The sequence below is a fragment of the Homo sapiens genome, chromosome 12 (assembly GCF_000001405.40).
Source record: "Homo sapiens chromosome 12, GRCh38.p14 Primary Assembly".
Taxonomy (NCBI): Eukaryota; Metazoa; Chordata; class Mammalia; order Primates; family Hominidae; genus Homo; species Homo sapiens.
In genome coordinates, this window is record NC_000012.12 from 26,584,092 (window position 1) to 26,598,285 (window position 14,194).

General features: G+C 37.2%; 1 protein-coding gene across 8 annotated transcripts in view; it reads right to left on the reverse strand.

The window, feature by feature from the left end:
• Positions 1 to 14,194, reverse strand: part of ITPR2 (inositol 1,4,5-trisphosphate receptor type 2) — a 497,843-nt gene that overhangs the window by 248,740 nt on the left and 234,909 nt on the right. For all 8 annotated transcript variants that reach the window (XR_001748686.3, XR_001748687.2, NM_001414174.1 and 5 more), the window contains 2 exons: positions 12,792 to 13,043; positions 11,374 to 11,499 (listed from right to left, as the gene is read on the reverse strand). Coding sequence is in view for 6 of the 8 variants with exons in the window: in NM_001414174.1 (NP_001401103.1) it covers positions 11,374 to 11,499; positions 12,792 to 13,043 (378 nt within the window). In the remaining 2 variants the exon portion in view is untranslated. The remainder of the gene's footprint in view (positions 1 to 11,373; positions 11,500 to 12,791; positions 13,044 to 14,194) is intronic.

Genomic DNA, 14,194 nt, shown 5'->3' on the forward strand with positions numbered 1-14,194 from the left:
ATTAATAAATATATAACATGCTAAGTAGTAAAAATAAAGAAAATAACAGACTAGAGAAAAATAAAGCAGGGCAAGTGGTACAGGGAATGTAGCAGGCAGGGTGGGGATGGTCAAGGATTCCTGTTTATTTAAACAGCTTGGTGGTATCTCTGTATAAGGCAACATTTCACAAAGAACTGAAGTTGGAAGCAGCCATCAACGTTTCTGTGGGAAGAGCAAGTAAAATGTTGTCTCTGCCATTAGGATATATGCTCCTGGACACCAGGAACAACTCTGTCTTGTTCACCACTGGACATGCAGCACCTCAGCATATAACAGATATTCTAAAATTATTTGTTGAACAAGCAGATGTTAAGTGAAATTTCTAGATACAATTGTGTCTGATTTTCTCCCCTTGCATATATGATGTCCTTCCTCTCTTCTGCTCTAAAAGTGACTGCTACCCTTCCAAGGATGATCGTCTATGGTAAATAAGTTACCATATGTTGAGCAGCACGGTCCTACAGAACTTCCTATAATGATGGAAATCATCTATATCTGTGATGTCCAATATGGTAGCCATTAGACACAGGTGCCTACTGAACATTTGAAATGTGACTAGTGCAACTGAGGAACTGAATTTCTACATTTTTTTAACTTATCTGAATTAAAATTTACATTTAAATAGCCACAGTTGGGAAGCGGCTACTCTACAGGGCAGGGCACCTCTAGAGCCAGTCACATACTTTTGATCATAAGGAATACAAATCCTAAGATCACTTTAGTATTTTACATAAACAGTAAAAATGTTCCTCTAAATATCTGAGGTGATATCTCATATTTATTTTAATTTGCATTCCGTTATTTGTGAGGCCAAAACTTTTGCAAGCATTTGCTTTCTATATCTCCTTTTTATGTGAATCATCAGCTCATACACTCAACTGGCTTTCTTAGAATTCGAAATTCTTTTTTTAAACAGACAACATTTTCATAATACCAATACATATTAATTGTAGGAACTCTGAAAAATACAGAAAATATAAAATGGAAAAATGAAAATTACTTATAATCCTATAATTCAGATAAGACTATGATTAACATGTTGGAATTTTTTCTTCTAATATTTTTGTTCTGCCATATATATTTTACATAATTGAAACCATTCTAGATTATGTGTTTCACATCTTCCCTTTTATACTTCATGCTTAAGCATTTTACATTATTAAAAATTCTCAAAAAATAATCTCAGTGACTTTAACATCCATCATATAGATATATAATAATTTATTTAACCGTTTGTCAAATATTAAATATTTAAGCTATTTCCTACTACATATTATCGTATTATCATAAAAGTACGGAGTCTCGCTCTGTCACCCAGGTTGGAGTGCAGCGGTGCAATCAGCTCATTGCAACCTCCGCCTCCCAGGTTTAAGGGATCCTCCTACCTCAGCCTCCCAAGTAGCAGGGACTACAGGCGCATGCCACAACACCCGACTAATTTTTGTATTTTTTGTAGAGACAGGGTTTCGCCATGTTTCCCAGGCTGGTCTCGAACTCCTGGGCTCAAGCAATCCGGCTGCCTCAGCCTCCCAAAGTACTGGGATTACAGGTCTGAGCCACTACACCCGACCCTTTATAGCATTTCTAATTATTTCCCAAGGACAGATTTTTGGAGGGTAAATTACTTGACACATTAGAAAAGTATGAAGGGTTTTTCTAAACGCTTTTTAGAAAGGCTGCATGAAATTATACTCTCATCAGCAGGATATGCAAATACATACGCTGAACCATCACCAACATTTAATATTATCTTTCCAAGCTTGCAACTTAGATGGTTGAAAATTGGATCTTATTTTTTGTGTTATTTTAAAAATTATTAATATTTGAACATTTTTCAGAGGTTTATTAACTTTTTGTATTTCCTGTTCTATAAATCATGAATGTTTGGTTTTTCCCATTTTCTTATTAAATTGTTAAGAGTTTTTCTTATAAATACATATAAGTTCTTCATGTGATGGTTATTACCCTTTTTAAAACTGTACCATAGCTATTTAAATTTTGATGTGTTTTATTTATTCATTTATTTTCAGAGACAGGGTCTTGCTCTGTTGCCCAGGCTGGAGTGCAGGGGCATGATCTCGGCTCACTACAGCCTCAAACTCCTGGGCTCAGGGGATCCTCTTCCCTCGGTGTCCCTAGTAGCTGGGACTACAGGCATATACCACCATGCCGAGCTTATTTTTTTGTAGAGACAGGCTCCCTCTATGTTGCCCAGGCTGGGTCTCAAGCTTCTGGCCTTAAGCAGTCCCTGAACTGGGCCTCCCAAAACACTGGGTTTACAAGTGTGAGGATATTTTTCATTTTTATTTATGATGTTTTTATGTACTTAAGTATTAAATTTTCAAACACTGAAATGGCTATGATTTTCCTTAGCTAATTTCATCTATTGCTTTCATCTAAAGACAGATAAATATTATCTACATTTCCATCCATTTTTACTGGTTCAGGTTTTTTTCTATTTAGCCATGAAATCCATTTCAATTATTGCTATTATGTGAGTTCATTTCACCCTAAATAGTCAGTGTCATCAACAGTCATTTTTACTTCAAATCAACAATTTTTATTGAGTGTCTATTCCATGCCAAGAATATTCTACATACTTGAGATCCATCAGTAAACAAAATATATAAAAACCACTATTCTAATAGAGTTTCTATTACTAATAATCCAAGGGTGGGTAAAATACAGCACATGCATCAAATCTAGCCAGATCCATTCATGTTTGTATTGCCTAGGACTCCTTTCTCTATAGTAATTGTCATAATAGTGGCAATAGGAGTCTACAAAGTTGAAATATTTACTGTTTTGCTGTTTACAGAAAAAGTTCACCAATCCCTGGAAATATCCAATCCCTTTCCACTAATAGGTGATAATTTATTATATATTAATATATTATATATGCAAAAGTCTATTTCTGGCTATTCATTTCATTCCATTGGTTTGCCTACTTAATTCTATGCTCAGACCACATTTTCTTTGTTTTCAAATCCACTTTTAAAATATTTTTAGCTTCATATGACATTTATTTATTTCACAAATATTTACTGAGTATCTATTATGTGTGAGACATTGTTCTAGGTCAGGTATGCAGCAGTGAACAGAGATAAAATTCCTGTCTTTCATTTGTTCCTACTGAAATACAAATAAATATATATATATATATATATGTAAATGTCAGGTGGTAATAAATTCTATGGAGAAAAATGAAGCAAGTGTTAAGAAGGATAAAGAAAAGAGCCTGTTATTTTATATAGGGTGGTTGGCAAAGCCCTCTCTGAAGGAGTGACTTTGAAGGAAAAACCTAAAGGAAAAGGAAGAAGTTATGCAGATACAGGGAAGTCCAGCATCCCTGGAAAATGTACAGTTGCTGAGATAGGAATGCATTTGGCATACCTGAGGAGTAGCAAGGAGGCCACAGTATGGAACAGATAGCTAGCTAGGGGGAGAATAAGAGGACAAGGGGAAGAAGGGTGGTCATAGGGCAGAGGCTAAGTCACACAGGGGTTTTATTCTGAGCAAGACAGGAAGTCACTGGAGGAATCTGAGCAGAGGAGTGACGATCATCTTCTCCTTCTTCTCCCTCTCTTTCCCCTTCATCCCTTTCTCCTCCATCTCCTCCACCTCCTCTTCCACCTCCTTCAATCATGATGGCTGCTAGATAAAGAATAGATGGAGAGAGGGACAAGAGCAGAAGCTTGGAAACAGGTTATGAGGCTATTGCAATCATCCAAATGAGAGAGAATGGTACTTGGGGTAGCGTAGTTGTGATGGGAGTGTTCAGGAGTAGTCAAATTTGGAATATTTTATGGTTAGAACTTGCAGAATTTGTGGAAGGACTGGATTTTGGGTAGAAGAAAATAAGATTTACAGATGGCACCAAAATGGTTTGCCTGAATGCCTAGAGTGAGTAATAGAATTGCCATTTATAGAGATGCTACAGTCTTGAAAAGGGGTTATTTTAGAGTGAGGCATGGGAATGAATAAAGAGTTTGAGGTTAGACAGCCAAGTGGAGGTGTCATGTAGACAGTTGAATATGTGAAACTAGACATCAGGAGAACCATAGAAAGTTATGAGAGTAAATGAGATTAGCAAACAGTGACTATAGACAGAGAAGGGATCCATTCCAAAGTCTGAGCCTGGCACACTCCAATATTTAGAAGTTGGGAAGGTGCAGAGAAAACAGACAAGAGACTGAGGAGTGGACAGTGTGGTGGGTGGCAAATAGAGTGGAATTGACATCCTGGGGTCCAAGGGAAGAAGCCTTGTATAAGTTATAGAATACTTTATACTTCTTCACTTCCCTGAAATATTAGTTAAAAGACCATATAAAATGAGCCCTTTTGAATGAGATTTTTTAATAGCTCATTCAACTTAAGAAATTCAAGAAAATTATTTTTTTAAATTGACTTAATGTCACCAAATTAAAGAACTAGGAAAGTGTGTTTCAATGTGCATATAAATTATATCTTTACTCCAACCTCTTACATATTTATTTGGTAAGTTAAGGGAGCAAAAATTTTAAGTAAAAACTTGACTCAATATAAGAGTTGTTAACAAAGTTGTAGAATAATAAAACCAATTATATCAAAAAAATGGCTCAAGTTATCTACCTGAAAGTGAAATACACAAGTTTGTCTTGTTAACCAGTGACTGATGGGATACTGACATGACAGAGAGTTAGGTGAGCCTCCTAAATTATTTCTTGGTCTAATTTCATTCTGCTAGTACATCACTTAGAGTACTGTTGGTCCTTATAGGATCCTGACATTGATAGCAAAATTGGAAACATCTTCAAAGAAAAAATATAGTCTGAGGCTAACATTGACCATAGTCTACCCTCTTTACGTGCCTTCTAATAATGACTCAAATCCCCTGACTATCAACAACAATCAGTTATAAAGCCAAAGAAAAGCTTTTCTGCCCTACAAACACCAGTTTTAGCTGCACTGGAACATAGATCAAAGTGGGCTGTCATTAAATGCTCTGAAAGACAGTGTAACAACTTTCCATGGGTCTAATAGCATCGCTGCCTGCCTAGATCTGGTGTGCTTACAGGACATGGATACTGTCTCTGTCAGGATATTAGAATGGAATAAGAATGTGAAACAATCTAGCACCAGTTTATTAAAAATAATCTTTTGGGAAAGATTTTCTTGTATGGGTCTTAACAAGATAAGAGACAAGGAAATGCCAATAGGAAAATGAAAAATACTAAAAAAAGGTGACTTTAGACAGCTTTACTCAAGGACAGACAAAAAGACCCTGGTAGTGCTGACTCCAGAAACACAAGAGAAGAATGATGGAAGGTGGTATGAGTGCTAATTTCATTACTATTAGTAATTTCATTTGCATTTTAAAAAATATTGTTGTCAGGTCAGGTGCAGTGGCTCACACCTGGAATCCCAGCACTTTGGGAGGCCGAGGCGGGCAGATCACGAGGTCAGGGGTTCGAGACCAGGGTGGCCAACATGGTGAAACCCTGTCTCTACTTAAAATAGAAAAATTAGTCAGGCGTGGTGGCGGGGGCCTATACTCCCAGCTACTCGGGAGGCTGAGGCAGGAGAATCACTTGAAACTGGAAGACAGAGGTTGCAGTGAGCCAAGATCGCCCCACTGCACTCCAGCCTGAGTGAAAGAACGAAACTCTGTTTCAAAAAAAAAAATAAATAAATAAAAAATAAATAAATAAATAAATAAACATATATATATATATATATATACACACACACACACACACACACACACACACACATATACATTTCTCCAAATGTCTACTAAAATAAACTGTGCTGGGTCATCTGCTGCCTGAAGTACTGGGTTCCATCCTGAATGTCATACCTTTCAACAAAACACAGAAACTAGAGGGATCTCAAAAGTATGTTGAAACTAGAATCCCAGAAACTATATCAGAAGAGGAATAACTGAAAGACATGGAGAAAATGATGGGAGATATGAAGGCTATCAGAAAATATCTGACCAGCTGTTGGGGAAAAGCACTGAATGATGCTACAGCAGCCCTCCCACTCTATATCTAGCTAGGAGAGTCACCCAGAAAATTCTCTCTGTAGAAGCCACAGGCAAAATTATGAGACCAACTAAGATGATCTTCATTTTCTTCAAGTTATATAATTTTGTCGTTTCAAAATAGGTCACTAGCAAGAATAGTGAGGAGGTGTTTATAGTAAACACATCTTTAACTGAATTATTTTGTGTTGCTGGAGAAAAAATAACTAGGCAAAAAATGTAATAAGGAAAAACTTGATAGCAAGGTTCTGGCATAAAAAGACACATAGACCAATGGAACAGAAAAGAGGACTCAGAAACAAATCCACACACCTACAATGAACTCATTTTCCACAAAGGTGCCAAAAACATACACTGGGGAAAAGACAGTCTCTTCAATAAATAGTGCGAGGAAAACTGAATATCCATAAGCAGAAGAAATGAAACTATACCCCTATCTCTCATGATATACAAAAATCAAATCAAAATGGATTAAAGACTTAAATCTGAGATCTCAAACCTTGAAACCACTACAAGAAAACATCAGGGAAACTGTCCAGGACATTGGTCTGGGCAAAAATTTCTAGAGTAACACCCAACAAGCACAGGCAACCAAAGCAAAAACGGAAAAATGGGATGACGTTAAGTTAAAAGGCTTCAGGTCGGGCACAGTGGCTCACGCCTGTAATCTTAGCACTTTGTGAGGCTGAGGTGGGCAGATCACTTGAGGTCAGGAGTTCAAGACCAGCCTGGCCAACATGGTGAAACCCCGTCTCTACTAAAAATACAAAAATTAAACGGGAGTGGTGGCAGGTGCCTGTAGTCCCAGCTACTCGGGAGGCTGAAGCAAGAGAATCACTGGAACCCAGGAGGCAGGTGTTGCAGTGACCTGAGATAGCACCACCGCACTCCAGCCTGGGTGACAGAGTGAGACTCCATCTCAAAAAAAAAAAAAAAAAAAAAAAGCCTTTTGTGCAGCAAAGGAAACAATCAACAAAGTAAAGAGATAATCCACAGAATGAGAGAGAATATTTACAAACTGTCCATCTGGCAAGGGATTAATAACCAGAATCTATAAGGACCTCAAACAACTCTATAGGAAAAAATAGAATAATCCGATTCAAAAATGGGCAAAAGATCTGAATAGATATTTCTCAAAAGAAGACATACAAATGGCAAACAGGTATATGAAAAGGTGTTCAACATCATTGATCACAAGAGAAATGCAAATCGAAACTACAATGAGATATCATCTCACCCCAGTTAAAGTGGCTTTTATCCAAAAGACAGGCAATAACAAATGCTGAAGAGCATGTAGAGAAATGGAAACCCTTGTACACATTAGTGGGAATGTAAATTTGGACAATCACAAGGGAAAACATTTTGGAGTTTCCTCAAAAAACTAAAAATAGCCGGGCGCAGAGGCTCACGCCTGTAATCCCAGTACTTTGGGAGGCCGAGATGGGTGGATCACTTGAGGTCAGGAGTTCAAGACCAGCCTGGCCAACATGGTGAAACCCCATCTCTACTAAAAAAAAAAAAATACGAAAATTAGCCAGGCATGGTGGTGCATGCCTGTAGTCCCAGCTACTCGAGAGGCTGAGGCAGGAGATGGTTGAACCCCGGAGGCAGAGGTTGCAGTGAGCTGAGATCACACCACTGTACTCCAGCCTGGGTGACAGAACCAGACTCTATCTCAAAAAAAAAAAAGCAACAACTAAAAATAGAGCTACCATATGATCCAACAATCTCACTTCTGGATATATTCCCACAAGAAAGGAAATTGTACATTGAAGAGATATCTGCACTCCCATGTTTGTTGCAGCACAGTTCACAATAGCCAAAATTTGGAAGCACCTTAAGTGCCCATCAACAGATGAATGGATAAAGAAAATGTGGTACATATACACAACAGAGTACTATTCAGCCAGTAAAAAAGAATGTGATCCAGTCATCTGCAACAACATAGACGGAACTGGAGGTCATTATGTTAAGTGAAATAAGCCGGGCACACAAAGATAAATTTTGCCTGTTCTCACTTATTTGTGGGCACTAAAAAAATTGCAACAACTAAATTCATGGAGATAGAGAATAAAAGGATGGTTACTAGAGGCTAGGAAGGGTAGTGGGGCAGAGGGGAAGTGGGGATGGTTAATGGGTACAAATATACAGTTGAAAACAATGAATAAAATCTAATATTTGATAGCACAACAGAGTGACTACAGTCAACAATAATTTCTTGTACATTTTAAAATAACTAAAGAAATATAACTGGATTGTTTGTAACAGAAAGAAAGGATAAATGCTTCAGGTGATGGATATCCCATTTACCTTGATGTGTTCATTACACATTATATGGCTGTATCAAAATATCTCCTGTACCTCATAAATATATACAGCTACTATTTATCCACAAAATTTAAAAAGAAAAAGAAAAAAGTAGTAAGCTCATTGTTAATCAGATATTTGAGTAAGTGCTGAAGACTATGAACTGTATATAAATTTGACTACTAGTCTCTTCCAACCCTAAGATGCTATGATTCTTTAGGTTCAACTTACCAAATTCCTTTCCTCCAGATTACCTTCATCATTTCTCATGGATATAAATCAGTTCTTCCAGAATGTCATAACTTTGTTGGAACATCTGGATTTGGTTTATCTCATACGTGGCTATTCATGTCAACTACTGTTGTGGATGTCCAGCTTTATGGACATAATTTCTAGTTTTTCCCTATGCTGAATGGTCCTCTGGATACAATGATATGGATGATGTTACCAACTCTCTTACTGATGCTAATATGTGCTAAGAATTTTATACACATTATCTCATTGGATTCTCCCACTAACCCTATGGGGAATGTGAATTTATTGTATTCATTTTACAAATCAGGAAACTCAGGGCCCAGAGGGGTTAAGTACTTTGCCCAAGATAAACTGAGCTACTGAGAGGCACAGTCTGGACTCGAACTCTGGTCTGGCTAAATCTTTTGAAATCCCTACTCTTAGCTACCATGCTCTGTCTACTACAGTGATTCTCAAAGTGTGGTCCCTGGACCAGCACCTGCAGCACCACTTAGGAATTTGTTAAAAATGTAAAGTCTTTCATTTATGGAAATTAGAAATTCTGGGGACAAGGACCAGCAATCTGTATTTCACCAAGCCCTCCAGCTAGGCCTGATGCTCACTAAAGCTTAAAAACTGCTCAACTGAACTGAAAATTTACCTAGAAGGCCACATTCTATTCATTTAACCACACTTAGTTTTATAACTTGAATTTGAAAGTTTCTGGTGACTCTGATCTTTCTTCATGGGGAGAGAAAGAAATCCCAGATATGAAAAAGTCAGGTTTCTATTTCCTTCCCTGAAAAAGGAAAGGTGATTCCTGTCAACCCTGGTGAAGGGATTAGAGAGCTACTGTTTTAAAATATAAACAAGAGGGAAATATTTTTAAAAACCTTTTTGCAGTATAGCTAAGTTATTGTGGTTAGACATAAATAATAAATAGATCAAGAAGATATTGAAATTCCCCTAGAGCTTTAATATAATAAATAACATTAATTATCCAATTAAGCAATAGTTAAAATCATTGCTATTTTTTTGTTTTTTTTTTTGTGTTTTTCAAAAAAAGAATGTAAATCTGTACACCTTTGCCTTGCAAATACATCGGTGAAAACGGTATTTCTCAGGTGGCATAATCAATGGAAGTTATCATTGGCTTTCTTTGGTTTAAAAAATAAAAATCCTTTCAGCTTTATAGCTCATGCTGCCTACAATGTGACCTTGATCTGTTTCAAGCTTATCTTTAGTCAGTAGCACTGTGCAACTCCGCAAATCAGTCTATAATCTCTTTAATATCCTCCTGCACGTGCAGTTTTAAAGCTTAGTCATTGGCATGGAAGTCACTCCTTACTTGAAGGTCTCTGGAGATACTATAGCTGGTCAGAAACAAAGTTTTCACAAGGTCAATGGGGACACATATGAGTACTATGTTAAATGCTGCATAAAACAGGACGATTTCTCTACAGGTGCATATTTACCTGAGATAGGCAATAAGTGGCTTTTAGCTGTATGGAAATGAAGTAAAACAGGAACTACCTCACTCACCACACTACACCACACCAAAGGTAAACTAAGCACATTTCACTTGGAAACCCTGGCTAAATAAAAAGAGTCCGTGGTCTGGAATAACGTATGATTCATTGTATTATCCAAGGGTGCTCTTACATGTCTGAGTCTACAGGCAGTGAAAGGAGGGATGACAAGGATGTACCTTGTCATCCCTCCTTTCAGAAAAAGGTATAGAGAGGCAGTGAGCTAACAGATAACAGCATCTGTTCTTGTAATTGAGATAATGAAAATATGGACTTCACTAATCTTTCTCCTCCAAATACATCTATATAAGGCCTATACAAAGCTACTAGCACTCAGGAATGTTGGAAGGCCAAAGGGGCTGAGTCCAGCCACCATCATTCATAATAGGTCTAAGGAGTTATCTATATACTGTCTTCTTTAGTGAAACTTTATTTGAACTTCAAGTCCCATAACTTTAAAGGGAAAATTAGATTTTTTTTTAGACACTGGCTGTTATGATAATTCAGTATGCAAAAAAAAAAGGCTAAGATGTGCTAAAGAAAATTGTGTTGTCCATCAAAGATATTCCTTCTTTCTTATATTTCTTCACTCATTCATTTACTCAATATTAACAGAGCAAAAACATATGTCAGGCAGTATCTAGAAAATGCCAACCAGCTCCACATGTCCTCCCCAACAGCCCCCAACAAAACAAACAGTAATAAGCGAATATAATTTGGTGGACACGAGTGAAAATGCCAGATGATTAAATTACTGGAGTACACTTCCAAAGAAGATTTTGAATAGGCAACAGCGAGCAAGGCCAAGTCCTCAGTCGGCTGGTCAAGTACCTATCTGCCTGAAAGCAGTAGTCAAGACCTCTTTAGGTCTCTTGATCTGTGCTTTGTAATTGCACTTAGAATAAGAGATTAAATGCAAATTGACCTCTGCCAAATATCTTCTCTAACCAATATAAAGAGGCCACTAAGATTCCATTTAATAACAGACAAACACAGTCACTCATAAAGGTAAAAATGAACACTTTACCTATTGTCATCTACAATGTACTAAGTATTTTGTGTATATATTAACTCATTAAATCTCACTCACAATCTTCTGAAATTTATTCACAACTTTATGAATGAATGCAACAAATCAAAAGGTAGTGAATTTAACTGCAAGTTTTCATCCAGATGCTTAATACTATTTAGTCGAAATATCTATTGACACCCTTCAGTAGTCAAAATCTAACTTACCCTTGCCATATCCACCAAGAAGTTCTCAAATAATTTCCAAATGTGGTTACTTGTATAGATTTCTTTCATTTCCACTTCAGTGTCAACATAACAGTGATTAACAAAGTTCACATAAGCAATTTTAACCTGTGCAAGTTTCAAATACAAAAGAAAGTTAGTTTTCTTTATTGATGACTTTCAAATATCAATTATGAAAGGTTAACATAAAATCTGTTAGTTTTTATGGTAGATCATAGCATAGTTTTGTCTATCCAGAAAGTATTCTCATTTCTCTTCTTTTGCTAACAGTCCACTGACCTAAGGGTGAAAACACGGGGCCTAGTACTCCATCCCCCTGGGCCAACCATTGCTGTGAGAAAGAACTTTATGCAAAACAAGCCTATCATATTTGAGATACAAGGAGTCAAAAGCAACCTCTCCTTCCTCTCCTTTTCCCTTTCTTTCTTCTTCCCCTCTCCTTCCCTCCCCTCCAATCCCCTCCCAACAGTAGAAAAGAAAGACATTATCGCAATGTACATTCCTGGATGCCTCATTAATAGAAGCCTATTGGCAGACAACCAGCTGCTACTGAGACTTTTTCTATCATCAGAAACAAACTAGGACAGAGGGTAAATGATGTGGGAATAAAGCAAACTGTGTGTGCATATTTTCAAGAATGCATCTATTCCATAAAGCCAGGTAAACCTGCAGAGTCTTTTATGTGGTCCTGCAGCACTATCCTAGCCTCTCCAATCAATGGTTATGAATAATTTTTGAAGCACCTGTTTTATGCTCAAGTACATACTAAAGTTTCAAGTAAACCTTTCAGTTTGATCATATGGCCATGTTTAGAATTGAAGAGAGCTGTCTAGTAGCTTCCACTAAACTAGCAGTGGCTATAGTTCTTAAAAGTTTCTCATAGGCTGGCTGTGGTGGCTCACGCCTGTAAATCCAACACTTTGGGAGGCCGAGGCAGGTGAATCACCTGAGGTCAGGAGTTCGAGACCAGCCTGGCCAACATGGTGAAACCCCATTTCTACTAAAAATACAAAAATTAGCTGAGCATGGTGGCACATGCCTGTAATCCCAGCCACTCGGGAGGCTGAGGCAGGAGAATCGCTTGAACCCAAGAGGTGGAGGCTGCAGTGAGTCGAAATCTTGCCATCGCACTCCAGCCTGGGCAACAGAGCAAAACTCTGTCTCAAAAAAAAAAAAAAAAAAAAAGTTTATCATCTTGCAGAACTTCTTATAGAACTTCTTATTAAAAAGTAGACCTTCTATGCTCTTTTACATTTTCCAAATTATATAGTTAAATACAATTCCCTGACTAAATATATGATCTCATTATAAATATTAGTATGGGGGACTTCTGGCACCTAGATAAACTTCAAAAATTAATAATGATTCTATTAGAGCTGCTAAGCTTTTGCCAGGCTTACCTCAGGGATGCAGTCGTCATGGGTCACCACCCTCACTATGTCGTCCAGCGGGAGAAGGGAATTACACTTGATTTCAGTGTAGACATTTTTCCCCTCTGTGCATGCTGCCAGCAACTCCACCAGGGTGATGTGGTAGGCTAAGGGGCCACTCTCATCCCCTCGGTCTCTCTCTGAACACATCATATGGAGAAGGATTGGAAATGATGCTCTATCATTGTAAAATATCAGCACGTCTTCACCCCCATTTATCAACTGAAATGATAATAAGAGAGTCTATGTAGCAGTCCGAACATTCATCCTTGCAGTTATTTCCAAAGGCTTGATATATCTGGAAACACGTATATCTCTTCGTAAAAACATATATAATACGGCAAAGACAGAGCTATGCTTGGGGAGGGTGGTGACAAGATTATGGTCCCATGCCAAGGAACCAGCTATGAACGCTATCAAAACCAGTTGAGGCGATGTGGAAGCAGCAGATAGGGCAAGAATGAAACAACATGGATGAAAGTAAATTGTTCATCACACTGAAATTAAACCTGTAAAAAAATAAAGTTATTTTCCTCTACTTTTTTTTGGGAGACTCCATGGCCAAAGCACAAGAAATCTCATAATTTTACTAAAGCAGAGTAAAATATCCTCATCCATTGCAATAATGACTACATAAGGAAGCAAGTACATTGAGCTAATTACAGCTCTACAAAAGTCTACAAAATTCCATGTGTCATAAGAAGGCATCAGCAGAGAATGAAGGTAAAAGCAGAGTTAAGAGAAATAAGTAGAAAACTAAAACCAAAAAACCGAGAGAAACAAAGATATGAATAGGTAGGGTCTTTTAAGACATAAATTTTCCTTCACATTTTGTTTATATAATTTTAGTAGAAAATTCCATCAGGTGGCAGTTTTATTGTTCAAGCTCCATAGTATCTTATTGTCTATTATCAGTACCAATTTTCTAACCCCAGTGTGAGATACATTGGTGGGTAACTAAGGACATACAATTTTTTTCTCTAGGTATTATATTTAAAGTGACAATATATTTAAATCTATAAGCCGATTCATTGGCTTACTTTGAAAGTGTTGTTGAAAGAGAATGTATGTGTATCAAAAATATGTATTATATATTAACATAATATTACAAATACTTCTTTGTGCACAGAAACACTTCACCCAACAGTATCATAGGGATGGTTTCACTGTTGCTGCTTCCCCATTCTAATTCTTTCCTTGCTGATCATAACACAAAATCCTTTAGTTCTCACATTTCCAGACAATGAAGAGCTAATGTGTAGGCAAATGCAGATAAGAAAAAGGTGCATTTTACAAGCTTAAAATGTTCCTTAAAATGTTTAATAACAATAATTTACATTTAAAAAAATTCAAGGCTTTAAGCTAAATTAATT